This window comes from Homo sapiens, chromosome 14 (assembly GCF_000001405.40).
Source record: "Homo sapiens chromosome 14, GRCh38.p14 Primary Assembly".
Taxonomy (NCBI): Eukaryota; Metazoa; Chordata; class Mammalia; order Primates; family Hominidae; genus Homo; species Homo sapiens.
Window position 1 is genome coordinate 21384058 of NC_000014.9, and position 19805 is coordinate 21403862.

The window sequence follows — 19805 nt, forward strand, 5'->3', positions numbered from 1 at the left end:
GCTTCCGGGTCCCAACAGCGTTAGGTTTTTTTTTTGTTTGTTTGTTTGTTTTGTTTTTTTCCAACCCTCTTTCGGATGGACGGGGGAAAGAGAGAAAGAAAAACGAGGGAAAATCAACAAAATGTGCGATGCAAAGAGTCGATTTTCGCGGGGTTTGTCAACTTCGCCACTGCCGCACGCGAATCGACGTCGTCACGTGACGGTCTGCCTCCGCCCTTATTAACTCTCAGCCCAGCGGCGGTTTCCAGGACCTCAGACTTTTTGCCGAGGCGGCAGTCCCTAGACGAAGCGAAGGAGGCGGCGCCTGCCCCGCCCACAAGAGCTGCCGCGCGCGGGTGTTATAGCTCCACCCCATCTGCAAAGGAAGGGGGAGCGGAAAGAGCGGGATCTAGCGTGGGATAAAAGTGGGACTACTACAGTGTAACTGGGCATGCGCCCCTCCTAGAAATGATGGGAATGCAAAAGCCCTTGACTGCTCCAGGACTCGAGGGATCCTCGGTGCCAGGATGCTGGGTCAAGCGCTCCGCCGGGACAGAGGACTCATACCAGGGAAATGGAGCCCAGCCTCGTGATAAACTACGACCCAAGCTGGGGGAGGAACCTAGTTTTCGAAAGGAAAATAATATGCGCAAGCTTTAACTGAGCAGTGGGATGGTGTAAGTCAGAGGAAACAGATGACTTGAGGGGCTCTACAAACTTTTAGTTCCTTCCCACAACCCCACCCCCTGAGCCCAAGTCGCGGCAGCATCCTTCCAGTCGGCCAGTCCCCTTGCTGCAGTTCATGAAAACTGGCACTATTCTATGGCTTCCCCCAAATAACCGTTACTTCAGTTAATTAGAAACAAAACATAAATGGTTCCTGATGACATTCTTGCTCCCTGTCTCTTCTAAAAACTTGGAGTTTGAATCCAGAAGTTTGCCTACCTACCATTTACCTTAAATAATTCCCTTGCCTTTAGCCAGCTGGACAGTCTACATTTGTATATACCCTTTAGAGGAGTACAGATGACTTGTCTGCTGTAAGGCAATTTAGTATAAACAGTATTGAACTTAAGGAAAGTGGTGCTGAAATTACCCACCATTAACAACTCAAAATCAATACACTGGGTTTGAGCAAACATAGAACAAAGGAAGAGTGGAAAAGGATTAACTTAAATTTATTAATGCCAAGGGGAAAGAAGGTAACAGTTCCTGACCCTCCAGCTGTATCCACAGTTCGGCCAGGAACAGGCTCTGCCAGAGGCTAGGGCCAGCGCTACATAGTCTGTGGTTAATGGAGGTGACTAGGGAGGGGTGAGCACACCAGCTGCTCTAGTCTCCTTTCCTTCCCCAGAAATGAGGAAGTGGTCATGTATTATTTTAGGAGTTCCCCTGCCCACCCAATCCTCTCATAATTGGGAGCAATCAGGTACATTTTTTTTTTTTTTTCCTTTTCACCTCCTGGAGTCCTGGACTTCCCCACATCTCCCCTGCCCCTCCCACGTTTCCATAGTCCAAGGGCCAGAGTAAATGAAAATACAGCAGCCGCCCAAGCAATGGGGCCCATGCTGGGGCTTCAGTCATCAGCATCTTCACTGGAGTCTGAGTTAGCTGGCATCATAGGATCATCAATGAGTGAGAAGTCCCTTTCTGAGCTATCATAGCCCTGAGATAAGTCATCATCATCTTCTTCATCCTCATCGTCATCCTCCTCAGGTTGCAGTGGTGGCAACCGCAAGGTAGTACCAGAGGCGGTAGTCACTGGTGAAGAGGGGTAGCCAGGGGCTCTCAAGCCTGGATGGTGATGGTGGTGATGGTGGGGGTGGGGGTGGTGGTGGTGGTGATGAAGCATGGTGCTGGAGTCTACATGAGGGGATGATGGTGCACCACCCATCACAAATGGCATAAAAGGCAAAGATGCAGAAGTGGCACTGCTGTGACCCAAAGATGACACAGACTGTAGGCCACTACTGCTGTGTTGGAACGTGTTATGCAGAGATAGAGACCCAGTGCTTCCACCCTGCATGAGGGCCATCATCTTAGAAAGGTCTGGTCGCATCCTACGGGCCCGCTTCTTGCTGCTCTCTGGTGCAATAGGCCCTGGCAAAACCCGGTTGAACACCGTTTCAGTGTGATGACCCTAGGAGGAGGGAATAGAAGATAATAAAAAGAAAGAAAGGGGAAAAAAGAAAAGAAACCAAAGCCAACAGAGTCCTAGCTTACAATGCTTTTTTACTGAATGTACCTTAGAAGAGGCAAAACAAGCACAGCGATACTAGGCTTGATTGGTGGTAATGGGAAGGAGGAAATGCTGGACTTAGCTGGTTGAAACATTCTGATACTAAAGTTAAGATCAATGATTTTGTACCGAAACTCATATTAACCAGTTTTTGCTTCTTTTCCCCATGACTATATTGTATCTTTACTTTAGTCAACCATTTCACAAATGCTTACCTTTGTTAAGAAGGGGTCTGGGTAAGACAATGAATTAGTAAATGCACATAAAAAAAATCACTTGTGACCGGGCGCGGTGGCTCACGCCTGTAATCCCAGCACTTTGGGAGGCCGAGGCGGGGGAATCACAAGGTCAGGAGATCGAGACCATCCTGGCTAACACGGTGAAACCCGGTCTCTACTAAAAATGCAAAAAATTAGCTGGGCAAGGTGGCGGGCGCCTGTAGTCCCACAGCTACTCGGGAGGCTGAGGCAGGAGAATGGTGTGAACCCGGGAGGCAGAGCTTGCAGTGAGCCGAGATCGCGCCACTGCACTCCAGCCTGAGCGACAGCGAGACTCCGTCTCAAAAAAAAAAAAAAAATCACTCGTGTCTCCTGATGGCAAGTTGTTCACTTGTTCTTACTATGTGAATTGACATTTACAATAATATCCTCTATTAGCACATCAAAGCAGGGTAAATTCAAGACAGATCAGATAAAGATTTCTACATGTCTAGAACACCAAAAAACTGTCAGAAACTCCTCACTAAATTTAATAAAATAATTTTTGTTCCACATTGATAAAAAACTTACATATCTGAATTTTAAATGGCTTCTTCTAGATGTTCTGACTAAAAATTCTGATTAAGTTCATTGAAGATAGAAGTTATTCCTGCAGGTCCCAAGAATAACGTAGTGCTAGATTCACTGTCAATTCTATATTAAGAATTCTGGGCCAGGCGTGGTGGCTCATGCCTGTAATCCCAGCACTTTGGGAGGCTGAGGCAGGTGGATCACTTGAGGTTAGGAGTTCAAGACCACCCTGGCCAACATAGCGAAACTCTGTCCCTACTAAAAATACCAAAATTAGCCGGGAGTCAGCCAGGCGTGGTGGCTCACGCCTGTAATCCCAGCACTTTGGGAGGCTGAGGGCAGGCGGATCACCTGAGGTTGGGAGTTCGAGACCAGCCTGACCAACATGGAGAAACCCCATCTCTACTAAAAGTACAACAAATTAGCTGGGCGTGGTGCCGCATGCCTGTAATCCCAGCTACTGGGGAGGCTGAGGCAGAAAAATCGCTTGAACCCAGGAGGCGGAGATCGCGGTGAGCAGAGATCACGGCATTGTACTCCATCCAGCCTGGACAACAAGAGTGAAACTCTGTATCAAAAAAAAAAAAAAAAAAAAAGCTGGGTGTGGTCGTGCATGGCTGCAATCCCAGTTACTCAGGAGGCTGAGGCAGGAGAATCACTTGAACCCAGGAGGCGGAGGTTGCAGTGAGCTGAGATCATGCCACTGCACTCCAGCCTGGGTTACAGAACGAGACTCTGTCTCAAGCAAAAAAAAAAAAAAAAAAAAGAATTCTGTACTAGTCATATTAGGATTTTCTGTGATTTTCTATGATATTTCTTAAGAGTTTCAGTTGACTATAAGGGAGTAGCAGAAGTACTTGAGGTAAAAATAGGTAACAGTGAAGGAAAAGCCCTTCTTACAGGCTGCTCTATAATGTTAAATTAAAGACAGAGATGGCATTAGCCTTCTAGCCACCAGCCTTTCCCATATCAACCATTCTGTTTATTGCACTCTTGTTCTCATCGAGGCTAACAGGGAAAACTGAAACATTCTCCCATGGTAACACTTCCATTAATATAAAAATAAGCCTCATAAATCTACATATATTTTATGTTTCAAACTTGTTAAATGCAAAATATTGATAGTTTACTTTAAAATTAATTTTGTTAAAAGATATTCCATGTGGTTATATAGACACATAAATATATGTGTATGCACATAGTCAGCCTTCCATATCCATGGATTCAACCATCTGTGGATTGAAAATATTTGAAAACAACAAGAAACTAAAAAATAACAAGAGAAAATACTACAGATTTTAAAACAATACCGTGTAACAACTATTTACATAGTATTTATATTGTGTTAGGTATTATAAGTAATCAAGAGATTAAAGTGTATCAGAGGAAGTGTGTCGGTTACATGGAAATACTACATGATTTTATTTATTTATTTATTTATTTTTTGAGGCAGGGTCTCACACTCTATTGCCCAGGCTGGAGTGCAGTGGCATGATCATGGGTCACTGTAGTCTCAGCCTCTGGGCTCAAGTGATCCTCCTGCCTCAGCTTCCACATAGCTGATACTAGAGGACTGCACTACCACGCCCAGCTAATTTTTTGTAGAGATAAGGTCCCACTGGGGTCCCCAGGCTGGTCTTGAACTCCTGGGCACAAGTGATCCTCTTGCCTCAGCCTCCCAAAGTGCTGGGATTACAGGTAAGAGCCACCGCACCTGGCTCTACACCATTTTATATATAAAGGACTCGAGCATCCATGGATTTTGGTATCTGCAGGGGTCCTGGAACCAATCCCTCACAGATACCAAGGGATGACTGTATGTGTATAAAGATTTCTATAGAAGATCAAATGGGGGAATAATTAGATAAGGCAAGTATATACAAGTGCTAATCCATTTTAAATGACTCTATGTCATTTAAAACAATGATTTATGTATGCTTTAAAAATACAACTATTGACCAGGCGCTGTGGCTCACGCCTGTAATCCCAACACTTTGGGAGGCTGAGGCGGGTGGATCACAAGGTCAGTAGTTCGAGACCAGCCTGACCAACATGGTGAAACCCCGTCTCTACTAAAAATACAGAAATTAGCTGGGCATGGTTGCACACACCTGTAATCCCAGCTACTCGGGAGGCTGAGGCAGGAGAATCACTTGAACTTGGGAGGTAAAGGTTGCAGTGAGCTGAGATCAGTCCATTGCACTCCAGCCTGGGCAACAGAGCAAGACTCCGTCTCAGGAAAAAAAAAAAAAAATTACAACTATTGGCCAGGCACAGTGGCTCATGCCTGTAATCCCAGTACTTCGGGAGGCTTAGGCAGGTGGATCACCTGAGGTCGGGAGTTTGAGAACAGTCTGGCCAACATGGCAAAACCTTCTTTCTATTAAAAATACAAAAATTAGCTGGGTATGGTAGCATGCGCCAGTGGTCCCAGCTACTTGGGAGGCTGAGGCAAGAGAATCACTTGAACCGGGGATGCAGAGCTTGCCGTGAGCTGAGATTGTGGCACTGCCCTCCAGCCTGGGTGACAGGGCAAGACTCTGTCTCAAAAAAATAAAAGATTAAAAAACAAATACAACTATTGCAGAAAGTAAGGTAAGCATAGCCAAGAGAAACTTTTGCAGTTGAAATTTGGTGGAAAGAATAAACTGTGGGTACTTAGTCCACCAAATGGCCTATTATCCATCATAAAAGTATAAGTAAATTTGAAAATATAGAATAACTTAATGGACAAATTTATTATGAATTACAAAACAGTTTCCTCTGCTTTTTCCATTACTGACATATTATTAGTGATTCTCAACCTTTATATATTGGGAAATCTCATGACTATTTTCCTTAGAAGACCTCTCCAAACACTTCTAAAATATATAGAATTAGAAAACTTAAGGCCGAGTGCGGTGGCTGAAGCCTGTAATCCCAGTACTTCAGAAGGCCAAGGCGGGTGGATTACTTGAGGCCAGGAGTTCCAGAGCAGCTTGGCCAACGTGGTGAAACCTCGTCCCTACTAAAAATACAAAGAATTAGCCTGGCCTGGTGGTGCACGCCTGCAATCCCAGCTACTTGAGAGGCTGGGCAGGAGAATGGCTTGAACCAGGGGAGGGAGAAGTTGCAGTGAGCTGAGATGGTGCCACTGCACTCCAGCTTGGGTGACAGAGTGAGACCATGTCTCAAAAAAACAGAAAACTTAAGAAATTGCTTTAAAACCCTCACTTTTCAGGATGTAAAAACTGAAGAGGTTAAAGGATTTGTCCAAAATCCCTTAGTTATTCAATAGAAGAACAGAGTAAGATCTGAATGTTCTCTCTAACCCATCTTACTAATTCTTAAATTTTCATATGCATCAAGTACTAAAGTTAGTTTTTAGAATGTTATGCTCTCCTAGAGATGAAGATACCACAGGACTGCAAAAATACTGATAAAAATACTCTGGGCCAGGTGCAGTGTGGCTCAGGCCTGTAATCCCAACACTTTGGGAGGCCGAGGCGGGTGGATCACGAGGTCAGGAGTTCAAGACCGGCCTGGCCAAGATGGTGAAACCCAATCTTTACTAAAAATACAAAAATTAGCCAGGCGCGGTGGCAGGTGCCTGTAATCCCAGCTACTCAGGAGGCTGATGCACGAGAATTGCTTGAACCCGGCGGGCGGAGGTTGCAGTAGGCCAAGATTGCGCCACTGCACGACAGCAGAGTGAGACTCCGTCTCAAAAAAAAAAAAAAAACCCCAGAAAACTCCGGTTTCCTTATTGGTGAACTCAAGATAATTCTTCACACAAACAAACATAGGAAAAAAGATAAATAACATTAGTCACAATCATCATTGAAAGACTTGTAATCTCACATCTAGTGTGGGAATAGAGTGGTAATGCTGCAATTTCTCTCACCTTTTTCCCATTTCTAGAGTTAGCTGTCTGTACTGGTTCCATTCCCAAACAGTTCAATTCTGCCTTATTATTTTTTTTACATCTTTGCCACTTCTGTTTTCTGCGATCCTCCATATACTGCAATAGAAAAAATCAGTTATCCTAGAGGAATAGAAATCTTCTCTGGAGTAATTATTAAAGTACTAGTGTCTTTTGTTTGATAATAAACACTTATTACATAGATAAAGGATTCATCCTAGTGGAAAACTGCCATTAAGTGGGATCTCTCCAAAAAATATTAGGTGGTTTATATAATAGTTCAATAGTAAATATTTGCCTAGCACTTAAAGTACTTCAACATTATTTTATTTTGGGCATCACAACAATTGTGAGGTTGGAAGACTGGGTATTATTAATTATTACCCTTATCTTGCAGATACAGAAACGATGATACAGTATGTCATGCTTTCTCTTTCTCATGCAGCTTAAATACCAAAGGAATGACTTTAAATCTTGCTGGATGGGACTGCCACTCACCGCTAGAAATCGGGGATCAACAGCAAACTCTGGATGACCCTGTAACCACATCTCCAGTTCAGCCCGGCGAGGGGCATCCTCACCCACCAGCAAAGTACCATCCACCTTATTGATGACAGGGATCCGGGTCTCCAGGTCCACATCAAGGTGATTAGGCTCTTCCATGCACTCCACCTCCAGCTGCAAACCCAGAATCCACCCCCATGAGCACATACTCTTCTTTGGGGGAGGGAGGGAGGGGGAGCAGGGCCAATGGTAGTCATGAAATGACTCTAGTATTTTCCATTCCCCCAGTCCCACTGCCTTCATCAATTATTGGGAATAAAAAGACAATCTAATCGTCAGGTTAAAGACTTTCTCTACCACTCACCTCTACTAGCTTCTTTCTGTTCCCCTTCTTCTTATGAAACAGTGGATGTCCATCTCCCATTACTCCATTCGCCATCAACTTGTGCTTCTGGAATGTTAACTTCAATCCTTCCTCCTAGGAAGACAACCCACCCACCCAAGACATCATATGGTACATGTTTTTCAAAGTAAAGATTAAGCTTTGAGGGATGTGGGCTATAGGTCATCCTCTTGCCCAATGATGGTGAGAAGGAAGGCCATCTGACTAAAGGGTAAAATTAGAAATACAAGAAAACATACACACTTTTTCCTTAGAAAGATTTCACTTCTTCACCTAGTGCCCCTCAGCATTTACGAGAAAGAGTTTATTTCAACAACACCCAAGTTAGGGTAAAACTCCCTACCTGGTGTCTCCGTATTAGCATGGCAACTCATCACAGGGGCAAAATCCTGCTATTCCTAAGCATACTAATTTAAGAAACTTTTGTTGAATATTAATAGGATTAATAATCAATAGGGTTCAATAAGGAAAACAACCAGGAAAAATGATTCTTCCTAAATGGATCTTTGTAAGCTCTGTTTTCTCATTTTTAAAATTAGCTAACCAAATGAGTTTAGTAACCTATTAGTAAAATTAGTTACAGCAAGGATTCCAGCCTCCTTCCCCACTTCCCAATGCCCAAATGCTGAGCTTACATCTTTGATTTGAACTGTAAACTCCTTTTCATCCATGCCTCGGCGAAGTTTGGTGAACTGGGCTGCCGCTGTGCTGACTGCAGATGCTTCCTCCTCTGCCATGGAAGCTGCACTACTACTTCGTGGTGTGGGGACTGGAGAGTCACCATATTCTCCAGGAGTCAATGAGGGACTGTCTAGCAAGTGGTTGCCTGGCCCCAAAATTCCTCCTGTTACCATTTCCTGGCTCCTACGGCTAGAAGGCCACTTCCCTGAGAGTACAGCCTGGCAGACGAGGTCAATACGGTTTATCAGGACACGATCCTGAATGGGGAAAGAAAGAAATACCATTTTAAGAGTCTGAGTACTAGCTGTGTGATCCTGTGATACTCAATAGTGCCATCACTACCAGGATGGGTAAAAATCATAAGGCAGAAAAGAGGAAGTTAATACTATTAAGATTCCTAAGTCAACTGGGAAGTTTCCTGGAAAAAAAAAAAAAAACTTGCAGCAATAAACACAATTTTAAAAATCCAGAACCATATGTTCCTTTTTCCCCGGATATACTGTTACACTGTATTTCTGGACTCTACATGTCCAGGGATGAGGCTGTTTGTTACCTTGGGCCACTCAGAGGCTCTTTGTCTTTCCTGCAGTAGCAGAAGCTCAGGGGTCATTTGTTCTCCATCTTCATTTGGGAATCCATCTTGGGACATAGTGAGGGACAGGAGACTCTCTTCATCATAGAGCTTTGAGCGGGACTGGTCAGCTGGTAAGAGAGCCCATAGAATGTGTGAGAAAAGATGGAAGAATAATGTCATATGGTAATGGTATTATATGGGCTTTGAATAAAGGCCCAAAGAATGGCACTCTTTTGACATTTTATCAAATCAAAATCCAAATCTCTCTCAAGAGGATGCATTTAGAAAAGGGAAAGAGAAGAGAGGGGGAAATAGGGAAGGGGGCCAACAGCCTGTCACATGCACTCACTTAGCTTCTCTTCCTTCTCATCCTCACTCTCATCAGTGCTGGAGCTGGAGCTGGATGAGGATGAGGAAGAAGAAGAAGATGGTGACAGCTTGCTCAAGTCCAGCTCAGAGTCCGAATCATCCTCATCCTCCAGTTTGACTGGTGGAACACTCCGGGAAACCAGAGGGGTAGTATCAGAGGGGGATACTCGCATCTCATAGTCTTGTGGGGTTGGTCGGCTCCTGGCCACCACCTCGTGCTCTAGCTTTAAAGTCAGACTCTCCAGACTGGGGACCTGGGTAGCTGTCTCCTCGGGTGACTTTTCAACAGGAGCATCTGGGCGCAGGGGCAGTGGTGAGGCAGTGCGTGAGGTATACTGCTGGTGCAGCAGTGGAGTAGAGCAGCGTGACAAGGATGGAGCTGGTGCTCCTGCTTGATGGTTCTGCATATAATTCATACGGGCAGCCAGAAAAGAGAAGTCTGGGTCCTGCATGATGTTGCAGTCTGTTTGGCTCACCCCATGGCGGGCTGCCCCTCTTAGAAGCTCCCCATCATGCCGAACAGGCTCCCACCATTTGGGCAATTCAGGACCAGGAGGCTGACACAATGCCAGCCGATCTTCCAAAAGGGGGTGGCATAAAACTTGTTCCCGTAAGCGCCGAAGCAATTCTATACGGTAGAGAGTCCGTGAGGCTCTCTCCTCAGTGATGGGCTCAATGAACAGGTTAGGGTCGGGGGGTTCTGCAAGAGACAGGAGTAGAAGAAATTAACAGAGTTGCTTCTGTTGGCATCCATCCTCACCCACTCTGCAATCTTGCTTACCATCTCCAGCTGCTGGGGGAAGGCGGCATACTTGGCGGCACATGGCCACAAAGCCATGGAAGTACTTGGTAAGGCTTTCATCTGTCTTTTTGTCTAGTCGAGCAAAAGTGCGGAAGCGATCCCAATGGAACTGCATGGTGTCAGGGTCATATTCCACACCAAACGTAGACACCACTCGATAAAAATCAGTTTGTTCACGCCTTGTCCATCTACAAAAGGAAAAGTAGGGCAACAATAATCAGAAGAACACATCAGAAGAACACAAGAAAACTGGTTATTTTTTAATGTGTTTTAGAATATCTGAAAACACAAAAATTGAAAGTAGACGCAAAAAAAAAAAAAAAAAAAGGCCCAGAAGAGGTAGTGAGAGGTACTCTGTAATGAGTAAGAATTACAGAGCCAAGGGGGAAAAGACACAGACAAATATCAATGAAAATGTCTACACAGGAGACCTACCTGAGAGTTAATGATTACTGCATGCAAGTGAGGTTTTAATTTCTACAGGTTTAACTACCCAAGGCAGAAAAGATGGTCCCTCTGTAGAGAATTCCAAATAAATCCTTCCTGAGATGGCTTTCAGTATAGGGACCATAACTGAAAACACAGATCAGCACAAGTTCCCAGCTATATTTTACCGTTGTTGTTTCTCCCGCCGTGCAATTTCTTTCAGCTTGAAGGCTGCTTCACAACGCCGCCTTCGCCGGTCCCCACGTTCTGCAGCCTCTATCTTCATTTGTTCTCTCTTGTAGCTGCGCTGATACGCTGTTACTAGACGCCGAAGCCTAGCTGTTAGGGCAGAGCCCGGAGGCCAGAATAAATGGCCTGGCTGTTGGGTCACCTGGGCTGTGGAAAACAAAGTAGAATGAATAGGAAGTATAGCAAGGGTAGTAGAGGCAATACTAGTATTTTAACCCACCCAAAGGCAAAGCTCTTAGAAATCCCAGGATAGGACAGAATTCAGTGAATAATTCCCCAACCCACCACCCCACACAGAATTATACTAGTTGACCTAGAAGTTTACCTTCATCTCCATCAATCACTGAGATCTCCTCATCCATCATCATCAAGGGATCACCCTAGAGAAGGAGATCCACCCAATAGGATGGAGCGGGGAGGGAAAGGGGGGGAAGTTGGCACTCTGAAATCACTTTCTTGTGTGTGTCCTTCTATGGCACCAAGGGATCAAGAAAAACTTCTAAAGAAATATATCCCCACAAAAACTTGGAAACAATCAACTAAAAGAACAAGAAAGTAGAACCTGAAAGGTCAGTTCCTATTAACGACTCAAAGATAATAGAAGTCAGGAATTTATTAGTCAAATAATATCTTTCAGTGTCCAGCTCCTCCATAAAGTTATCCCTGATCTCCCCCTACTGGCATTACAGTCCTTTCCATTAATATTTTCTATTCTCAAATGGTATAATTCATTTTCCATTTTGTATTATAAATTAACCAATATATTTCAAGATTCAGAGAATGGTTGAAGACTTAAAACTATTTAGTAATAGAGAAAAGTGAGACTCAAATGAGAATTCCTTACCTCATCATCTTGGTCCTTTGGGGGACCTTGGAGTGGTTTATATTCAGGATCTTCACAATCTTTATCAAAGTCAACCCTAAAATTATGGAGAGGCACAAGAAAATGTTAATAATGTATCTTCTATCACTAAGGGAACCTAGGATGAAGACCTAGCCACACATATATCCAGCATGAAATAATCTTTATTAGTATTATTTTTGAGACAGGTCTCACTCTGTCGCCCAGGCTGGAGTGTCATGGCCCTATCACAGCTCACCGTAGCCTCAACCTCCTGGACTCAAGCGATCCTCCTCCCTCAGCCTCCTGAGTAGCTGGGACTACAGGTGTGTGCCACCGCACCCGGCTAATTTTCATATTTTTTTAGAAGTGGGGTTTTGCCATATTGCCCAGGCTCATCTCAAATTCCTGGGCTCAAATAATTCACACGCCTTGGCATCCCAAAATGCTGGGATTACAGGAGTGAGCCACCATGCCTGGCCTTATTTTTATTTTTATATATATATTCTTTGACACAGAGTCTCACTCTGTAGGCCAGGCTGGATTCCAGTGGCATGATCTCAGCTCACTGCAACCTGTGCCTCCCGGGTTCAAGCGATTCTCCTGCCTCAGCCTCCTGAGTAGCTGGGATCTACACATACCCACCACCATGCCAGGCTAATTTTTGTATTGTTAGTAGAGATGGGGTTTCACCATGTTGCTCAGGTTGGTCTCAAACTCTTGGGCTCAAGTGATCCCATCCTGGCCTAGTCTTTTATTTATTTATTTATTTATTTATTTTTTGAGATGGAGTCTTGTTCCATCACCTGGAGTGCAGCAGTGCCATCTCGGCTCACTGCAACCTCCGCCTCCTGGGTTCAAGTGTTTCTCCTGCCTCAGCCTCCCAAGTAGCTGGGATTACAGGCATGCGCCACCACTCCTGGCTAATTTTTTTTGTATTTTTAGTACAGACGGGGTTTCACCTTATTTGCCATGCTGGTCTCGAACTGATGACCTTGTGATCCACCCACTGTGGCCTCCCAAAGGGCTGGGATTACAGGCATGAGCCACAGTGCCTGGCCTAGTATTTAATTTCGTGTTTACAGGAATGGCAGGCCAGGTGCAAAACTTTGGGTCAGTCTGGTATAGCATCCAATGGAATACAAATAATTATAAGAAATTGACAATGTACCATTCGTAATTGCTTGAATTTGAAACACTTTGATCAACACAGTTCCTTTTTCTTGACTTTTATTATGTAATTCTTCCTCCTACCCAACTATTTACTTTTTATTATTTCATTTGTATGGTTCACGCTTTTTTGTTTTTATTACTGTGTTCTTCTGAGCAGACAGGTGGCATAAACGATTTGCAATGAATAAATAACCCAATTTCCTTTGAGGGTCCTACACTAGGCAAACTGAGGGTGTGATCGTCAAAGAGAAATTTCTCAGTCATGATGGAATGGGGAGGTATTCATTAAGCCAACTGTTTCACATGCCCCTCAGATCTTCATGTGAGAAGTTTTGTTAAACTCACTGGCACCCAAACCAGGGCAACACTGCCCTACCTGGTGGCTCAGTATTAGCATGGCAACTCATCATTGGGACATGTTTTCAGGCAAAATAAGTACCTTTATGTGTCAGGTACCATTGGGAGATGATAAACCAGGGCTGAAAGCGCCTAAGGCTCTTCCACAGAAGCAACGTATGAGAGCTGCTGGCTGTTATCTTTCAAGAGACCAGTTATCCTCTCAGCTACTGTAGCTGTACAGAAGAGTGTTGTAAACCAAACCAAATAGAACATCAAATAAGCCATTTACAAGTGACATTCATTTTCACCCTCAGATGTATCTTATGGCAACATGTGGTTTATGCAGTTTATGGAGTCCTTTCTGCTGGTCCTATTTTTGCTAAGGATCTATCACTTTTGAGTATAATTACAATTAAGAATCCCATTGGGTTCAGTCAAGGCTAGAGTTATTTCACGGCACAAGTTAGAGTTTTAAAAGAACAAATACTAATGCTTACCCTTCTACTATGTCAGAGAAGTTATCCAACACTCGATGTTCTGCTGCAATTGCTTTGTCATCTGGTCGGCCAGCCTTTTCTAGGAAACATAAGGCTGGGTCTGCCCTCATGGTATTATATTTCTCATAGCCTAGAAGAAAAAGGGTCATAGTTGAAGAAAATGAGATTTGTTTTGCCTTTATGCTTACTTTATATGCTGCTGGAATAATTAGAATATGTTCTATATTGCTCATAATGGAAAACAAAGTTAGAATGTTATCTTGGACAACTACTGGGTTTATTACTATATTTAACATTTTTATAGCAATTTAGAATCATGAAGAGTTTTTAACTAGTGACTGATAGCCTTAGGCTCCCAAAGTGTTGGGATTCCAGGTGTAAGCCACCATGCCTTGCCTGCAGTTTTATTTATTTTTATTTATTTATTTATTTTTTGAGATGGAGTCTCACTCTGTCGCCCAGGCTGGAGTGCAGTGGTGCGATCTTGGCTCACTGCAAGCTCTGCCTTCCAGGTTCACGCCATTCTCCTGCCTCAGCCTCCTGAGTAGCTGGGACTACAGGTGCCCACCACCACGCCCAGCTAATTTTTTATATTTTTTAGTAGAGCCGGCGTTTCACCGTGTTAGCCAGGATAGTCTCAATCTCCTGATCTGCACACCTTGGCCACCCAAAGTGCTGGGATTACAGGCATAAGCCACCATGCCCAGCACCTGCAATTTTATTTATCCCATTAAACGTCTCAAAAAAGATGTAGATTAAGTGCCATTACTTTTATTTTATAGAAAAAAAAGTATTCTTTTAAAAAAAAGACATTCTAATTCACAAAGTCACTTGGCTGAAAGTTAACGCTTACTGTTTTTAGTGCCTGGGATTTGGCATTAGGCAAAACTGCTATAAGAGTAAGGAAATATTCTTACCCCCACTGCATTTTTGTTTTGGCTAGTCAGTCTCCCTTCTTATACTCTACTTTTATTTCACTCAAAAACTGCTGCCTCATACCTATATCAGAGAGACTGCTGAACATTTAGACAAATGGGACATGTAGAAAAACAGAAGATTTTCAGCTCTTTCTCTTTAGTGAGGCAGCCAAGCTGACATAGAGATGCAGATCTCTGTAAAGACCCTCACAGGCAAAACCATCACCCTTGAGGTCCAGCCGAGTGACACCAGTGAAAATGTCAAAGCCAAGATCCACGACAAGGAGGGCATCCCACCTGACCAGCAGCATCTGATATTTGTGAACAAACAGTTGGAGGATGGCCGTACTCTTTCAGACTGTAACATCCAGAAAGAGTCCACCCTGCAGGTGGTGCTTTGCCTCTGAGGTGACATTATTGAGCCTTCCCTCTGCCTACTCACCCAGAAATACAACTGCGACAAGATGATCTGCTGCAATTGTTATGCTAGTGCACATCCAGAGGAAAGTCATATAAATTAAGTGTGATTATTATTAACAATAGTTGGGGTATATTACCTGCCCTGATTCATGGGACCCTAACTTACCATAGCATACAGTGCGGTAACACACTGCTAACAGTGATTAGAGAACAGATGGGAGGCTCCCTACCTTGAGATTTACCTATCCATCTGGCCCTTCTTGAACATCTATTTATAGGAACTAACTGCTCTGCTCTGGATATTTAAGAACTACTTTCCTACTCAAATTTATTGAAGATCAATCAGATAACTGAGTTATTTCTCAGGAGCATTTTGCTAAATGTTCCATCCGTGAACATAAATCTTCAGTCGGAAAGGAGTAGAATAGGAGAAGATACGTACCATGTTTAAAGACTCCAATGAGCAGCGACTTGTCAGCCTCACTGTCCCACCAAGTTGTTGGAACCTCCAGTTGATCCACTACTGGGAACCATATGTCAATCTCACTAAAGGTATAAGAGGGCAGAGTCAGCACAGAAATGCAGGAAATTAAAGTGAGAATCCTTGCAAAGGTTATTATAGGTATCTTCCTGTATCCATTAATTTAAATACTCATGCATCTACCCTATTTCCTCCCACTAGTGTCAAGTATAAGATTAAAGACCTGATATATAGATTTAAATTATCAGGTATCCCAAAGATAGCATAAAATGAAATAAGCAAACCAATCTTCCCTCAAATAAGGTAGGGCATAAATCAAAAAAATATAGCAGAATTTTACCTGGCAATCGCACCCCCTAACACCTTTTCTGCTTGGTCTCCAATAACCTCCTGCCTCAGGTAGTATAGCATTCGTACCCGCAACAGTACCCTAGAAAGGACAGAGGAAGAGCTGGCTCAGTAACACTGTAGAAGTTTGAGGTGGAAAATGTCTGCTAATTCTATGCTTACTTGTTACACTGATGTTTCAAGTGCTTCTTATAACTTTCATCTTGGAACAAAGTGTCAGGGTTATATTTCCGGATCCAATCTGCCTTATGGATATCAAAAGTGCTTTGTGACTTTACTTTTTTTCCTTTGCGTCCACGAGGCACAGGGATAGATAGACCTGGGAAAGGGGAGACATCAAAGACTTGGATTGAGAAAAACCCTTGGACCTGAAAAGGATTAGATTAACCTATAGAAAAACATAAAGTAAAGAGTTGATAATTACCTGAATGATTCTGCAATTCTTTTGTCTTGCCATTTTCAGCTGGGCTAATCAAGTCCCAGATGAAGCCTTTAATATTTTCATCCCCACGGTAGTGTAGAAGACAGTACACGAGAATGGCCCGACAAATGGTCTCCACATCTCGTTCAGTCATACGTCGCTTGAAGCGTCCATGAGATAAAATATCTCGCCATCGTCCCCAACTAAAAAACAGAAAACTATATTAACATTTTTCTGAGAAATGACAGTCCCCTGTCCCTCAGAATCATGTCTCTGAAAAGGTGTGAAACAAAGATCTTAAAAAACATGGTAACAGAATAAACAGAACAAACTCCCTCCAAGGCAAATATTTTTTCACATTATCCCTTCTTTGATCATAGCCCCCAATTTGAAAGGCAAACCAAGAGTATCTATCAGGATGGAGATGCACTATGCACTACCTCTAATGGTAAGTTGGGGTCTTACCCATATACCAGGAGATGCTTTTCCACCCGAAAGCAGTCAGTGCGCCCATAGGCATGATGACGGTCATGTCTGCGGGAGCGTGGCCGCTCATCATCCTCACTTTCCAAATCAGAGAATTCCACCAGGTCATCATCTTTCAGAGTGCTAAAGTGGCGCGTTTGTTTTCGTACTCTAGGTGTGTCAATTACCAAATTATTCTATGAAGAGAACAGAAGGAGAAGTAATTCTCTTCCTGATTTGCTCATGGGAAAAGAATAAGACAATTAGGGATTACAATAACATTGGATGTAACGTGTAGATACTCAGAGATTTTTTTAAATGACATGTAAAATAATCTACAGAAAGCAAAATTATTCAGAAAGCAACTACTTTTCTGGGGCCTCCTAGGTAGAAAGTATCCACAACAGCCCTTGTATACAATACACCATCATAAATCACAATTAGCATCAAATAATCAGAGTAGCTGTAAAGACTCCCGAAAGTAGTGTGGTCTTCTGCGATACTTCCTCCCTAAAAGAAGAAACTCACCTTGCTGTTGAGCAGATCCATGTCTAGGTCAGCCTTTTTGGCCCACTTTTGCCAAAAGTTGGGGTCATCCAAAGAAATATCTGTCCTGTTTTCAGAAGCAACAAAGCTTGCCTAGAGAAAAACAAATGCAGAGGTAAAGCTGACTTTTTTTTTTAAGTGGTGCAAAATCAGCAATTATGTTTTAAAAACATTTTTTTTTTGAGACACAGTCTTGCTCTGTTGCCCAGGCTGGGGTACAGTGGCACGATCTCCGCTCACCGCAACCTCCACCCCCTGGGTTCAAGTGATTCTCCTGCCTCAGCCTCCCGAGTAGCTGGGACGACAGGCGCAAGCCACCATTCCTGGCTAATTTTTGTATTTTTGGTAGAGATGAGGTTTCACCATGTTGGGCAGGCTGGGTCTCGAACTCCTGACCTCAAGTGATCTGCCCGCCTCAGCCTCCCAAAGTGCTGGGAATATAGGCATGAGCCACCATCCCCAGCATAAAAACATAATTAAATCCTAGAGATTCCGGTCTCTGTGTTTTTCTAGCCTCTGGCATAGACAGAACATGCCTTAGCAAAGGTGGAACCTTTTCCTTCAGATTCAATGGTGATGGTTGTAGTTCGTCTTAACAAGATCTGGTCAATGTCCTCTTCACAAAACTTGGAGCCTTCATCATCTTCCTCCATGATGGCTGCATATGCTCCTTTTCTTAAAAGATCTTCAATCTCCTTCTTAGAGAACTGTTGGATCTGTAAAAACCAATAGAAAGATGAAAAGACTATCAAGAGAATAATATCTAACCATGCCATAATATTTTAGCTATTATATTTTAAGAAATAATAATTGAGAATCCAAACAAGGTAGTCAAATCCCTGTGTACAAATAGCTTTTGTTTCCCTCTATCACAATGATCTACTACAAACTTATCTATAAACTAAGAGGACTCACTCCAGTAATGTTGCCATCCCGACCACTCATGGATTGAAGCACAGCCTTATCCAACCCCAACTTGAGGCTGGCCTTATCAAACATCTCTCTCTCGTAGGAATTACGAGTGATGAGGCGGTACACCTTCACAGCTTTGCTCTGCCCAATTCGATGACATCGTGCCTGGGCCTGGTTTAAAATAAAAACGAAAGGAAAGGAGAAAGATATCATAAAATTAGCAAGGGAAAGGATACAAAATACCAATTTATGATTCTTTCACCTCTATAGAGCAGCCATGAGATCAACTCAAAACCAAGAGTCAATTTCAAGATGAAATTATCACCCCATCATGTAGACCAGGGGTCAGCAAACTAAAGTCTGTGTGGACATCTGTTTTTAAAAATAAAGTTCAATGGGGACACAGGTGGGACCACCCACTCATTTACATATTATCTATGGCTGTTTTTGCGCTACAGGACTTGGAGATAAGCAGTTGCAACAAAGACTCGATGGCTCACAAAGCCTAAAACATTTACTGTCTTGTCGTTTACAGAAAACGTTTGCTGATTCCCTGACCTAACTGCCACCCTTAACTAAGGAAACAATTCCAAACTCTGTGAAAGGTCTTTCTAAAAGATCCTATTCTTGTTGAAAAATCTCCCAAGTTAGGTAGTTAGTCCCTAAGACAATGAATTCCTTTACCTGCAGGTCATTTTGTGGATTCCAGTCTGAATCAAAGATGATGCAGGTATCAGCAGCTGTAAGATTAATACCAAGTCCACCAGCCCGGGTACACAGTAAGAAGACAAAGCGGTCTGAGTCAGGCTTGCTGAAGCGGTCAATGGCAGCCTGTCGAAGGTTGCCTCTAACTCGCCCATCAATACGTTCATATAAGTACCTGTATGGGAATCGCAGAAAAAAAATGTAAGTGGCTAAGCAGAAGTGGAGACCAAAACAGCAGGCTAGGATCAATACCAGTACTCCCATATCAAAGCTGGTCAAAAACCCAAGTTGAGAGTGAGAATCTTAAAAACTTCTCTTATTGCAATTGGTGAACTCTAATTAAATCCAGGCCCTCCTACTTTTTGCTGCTTTATGAGGACAGAGTAACCACAGGCTAGGATGACTCTTTTCTTACCTCCTCTGGATTAAATAATCCTCTAGGATGTCTAGGCAGCGCACCATCTGAGAGAAGATCAGAACTTTATGGCCACCAGCTTTAAGCTTTGGAAGCAACTTGTCAATAAGAACCAGTTTGCCGGCTGAACGAACCATGGCCTGCAGGTGAAAGTCATGAGGTATAATATGGCAAGCTTCACGGAATTCTGTTAGGATTTTTTCTTCAGCACCTGCCAAAAGAAAAATCAAATTATGTTGAGATCCAGTGAACCATATTAAGGTTGTAGTCTATTTAACTAAGAAAGCAAAAGGAAAAAAATGTAATTTGACTTAAGACCAACATTTCTCACACACAGAATTTCAGCACAAAAAAGTCTTAAATCGGCTGGGTACGGTGGCTCATGCCTGTAATCCCAACACTTTGGGAGG

General features: G+C 43.3%; 1 protein-coding gene, 1 long non-coding RNA gene, 2 other non-coding genes and 1 pseudogene across 5 annotated transcripts in view, besides 1 other annotated feature; 2 read left to right on the forward strand and 3 right to left on the reverse strand.

Moving 5' to 3' along the window:
• On the forward strand, nt 216-7749 carry LOC107984643 (uncharacterized). Its single transcript, XR_001750627.2, has 2 exons — nt 216-656; nt 7353-7749. It is a non-coding gene; the product is annotated as an uncharacterized LOC107984643 (long non-coding RNA).
• Nucleotides 1142-19805, reverse strand: part of CHD8 (chromodomain helicase DNA binding protein 8) — a 70925-nt gene continuing 52261 nt past the window's right edge. For both annotated transcript variants that reach the window (NM_001170629.2, NM_020920.4), the window contains exons 17-38: nt 19396-19606; nt 18960-19155; nt 18279-18446; nt 17900-18079; nt 17346-17456; nt 16818-17014; nt 16356-16555; nt 16094-16250; nt 15924-16013; nt 15545-15648; nt 13766-13895; nt 11760-11835; nt 11241-11295; nt 10855-11062; nt 10220-10428; nt 9419-10138; nt 9049-9197; nt 8450-8752; nt 7776-7889; nt 7406-7585; nt 6890-7006; nt 1142-2119 (exon numbers count right to left, since the gene is read on the reverse strand). In NM_001170629.2, coding sequence (NP_001164100.1) covers nt 1556-2119; nt 6890-7006; nt 7406-7585; nt 7776-7889; nt 8450-8752; nt 9049-9197; nt 9419-10138; nt 10220-10428; nt 10855-11062; nt 11241-11295; nt 11760-11835; nt 13766-13895; nt 15545-15648; nt 15924-16013; nt 16094-16250; nt 16356-16555; nt 16818-17014; nt 17346-17456; nt 17900-18079; nt 18279-18446; nt 18960-19155; nt 19396-19606 — 4439 coding nt within the window. In that variant the 3' untranslated portion in view covers nt 1142-1555. The remainder of the gene's footprint in view (nt 2120-6889; nt 7007-7405; nt 7586-7775; nt 7890-8449; nt 8753-9048; nt 9198-9418; nt 10139-10219; nt 10429-10854; nt 11063-11240; nt 11296-11759; nt 11836-13765; nt 13896-15544; nt 15649-15923; nt 16014-16093; nt 16251-16355; nt 16556-16817; nt 17015-17345; nt 17457-17899; nt 18080-18278; nt 18447-18959; nt 19156-19395; nt 19607-19805) is intronic.
• Nucleotides 7011-8210: an enhancer, noted in NCBI's record as "CDK7 strongly-dependent group 2 enhancer chr14:21859227-21860426 (GRCh37/hg19 assembly coordinates)". NCBI's record gives its function as "activates an origin of replication core promoter dependent on BRD2, BRD4, P300/CBP, MED14 and CDK7 cofactors, with strong dependence on CDK7, by STARR-seq in HCT116 cells {active_cell/tissue: HCT116}" and the evidence as "EXISTENCE:reporter gene assay evidence [ECO:0000049][PMID:35650434]".
• On the reverse strand, nt 8094-8196 carry SNORD9 (small nucleolar RNA, C/D box 9). Its single transcript, NR_003029.2, has one exon. It is a non-coding gene; the product is annotated as a small nucleolar RNA, C/D box 9 (small nucleolar RNA).
• SNORD8 (small nucleolar RNA, C/D box 8) lies at nt 13236-13344 on the reverse strand. The gene has a single exon (NR_002916.2). It is a non-coding gene; the product is annotated as a small nucleolar RNA, C/D box 8 (small nucleolar RNA).
• On the forward strand, nt 14831-15170 carry UBA52P2 (ubiquitin A-52 residue ribosomal protein fusion product 1 pseudogene 2; annotated as a pseudogene).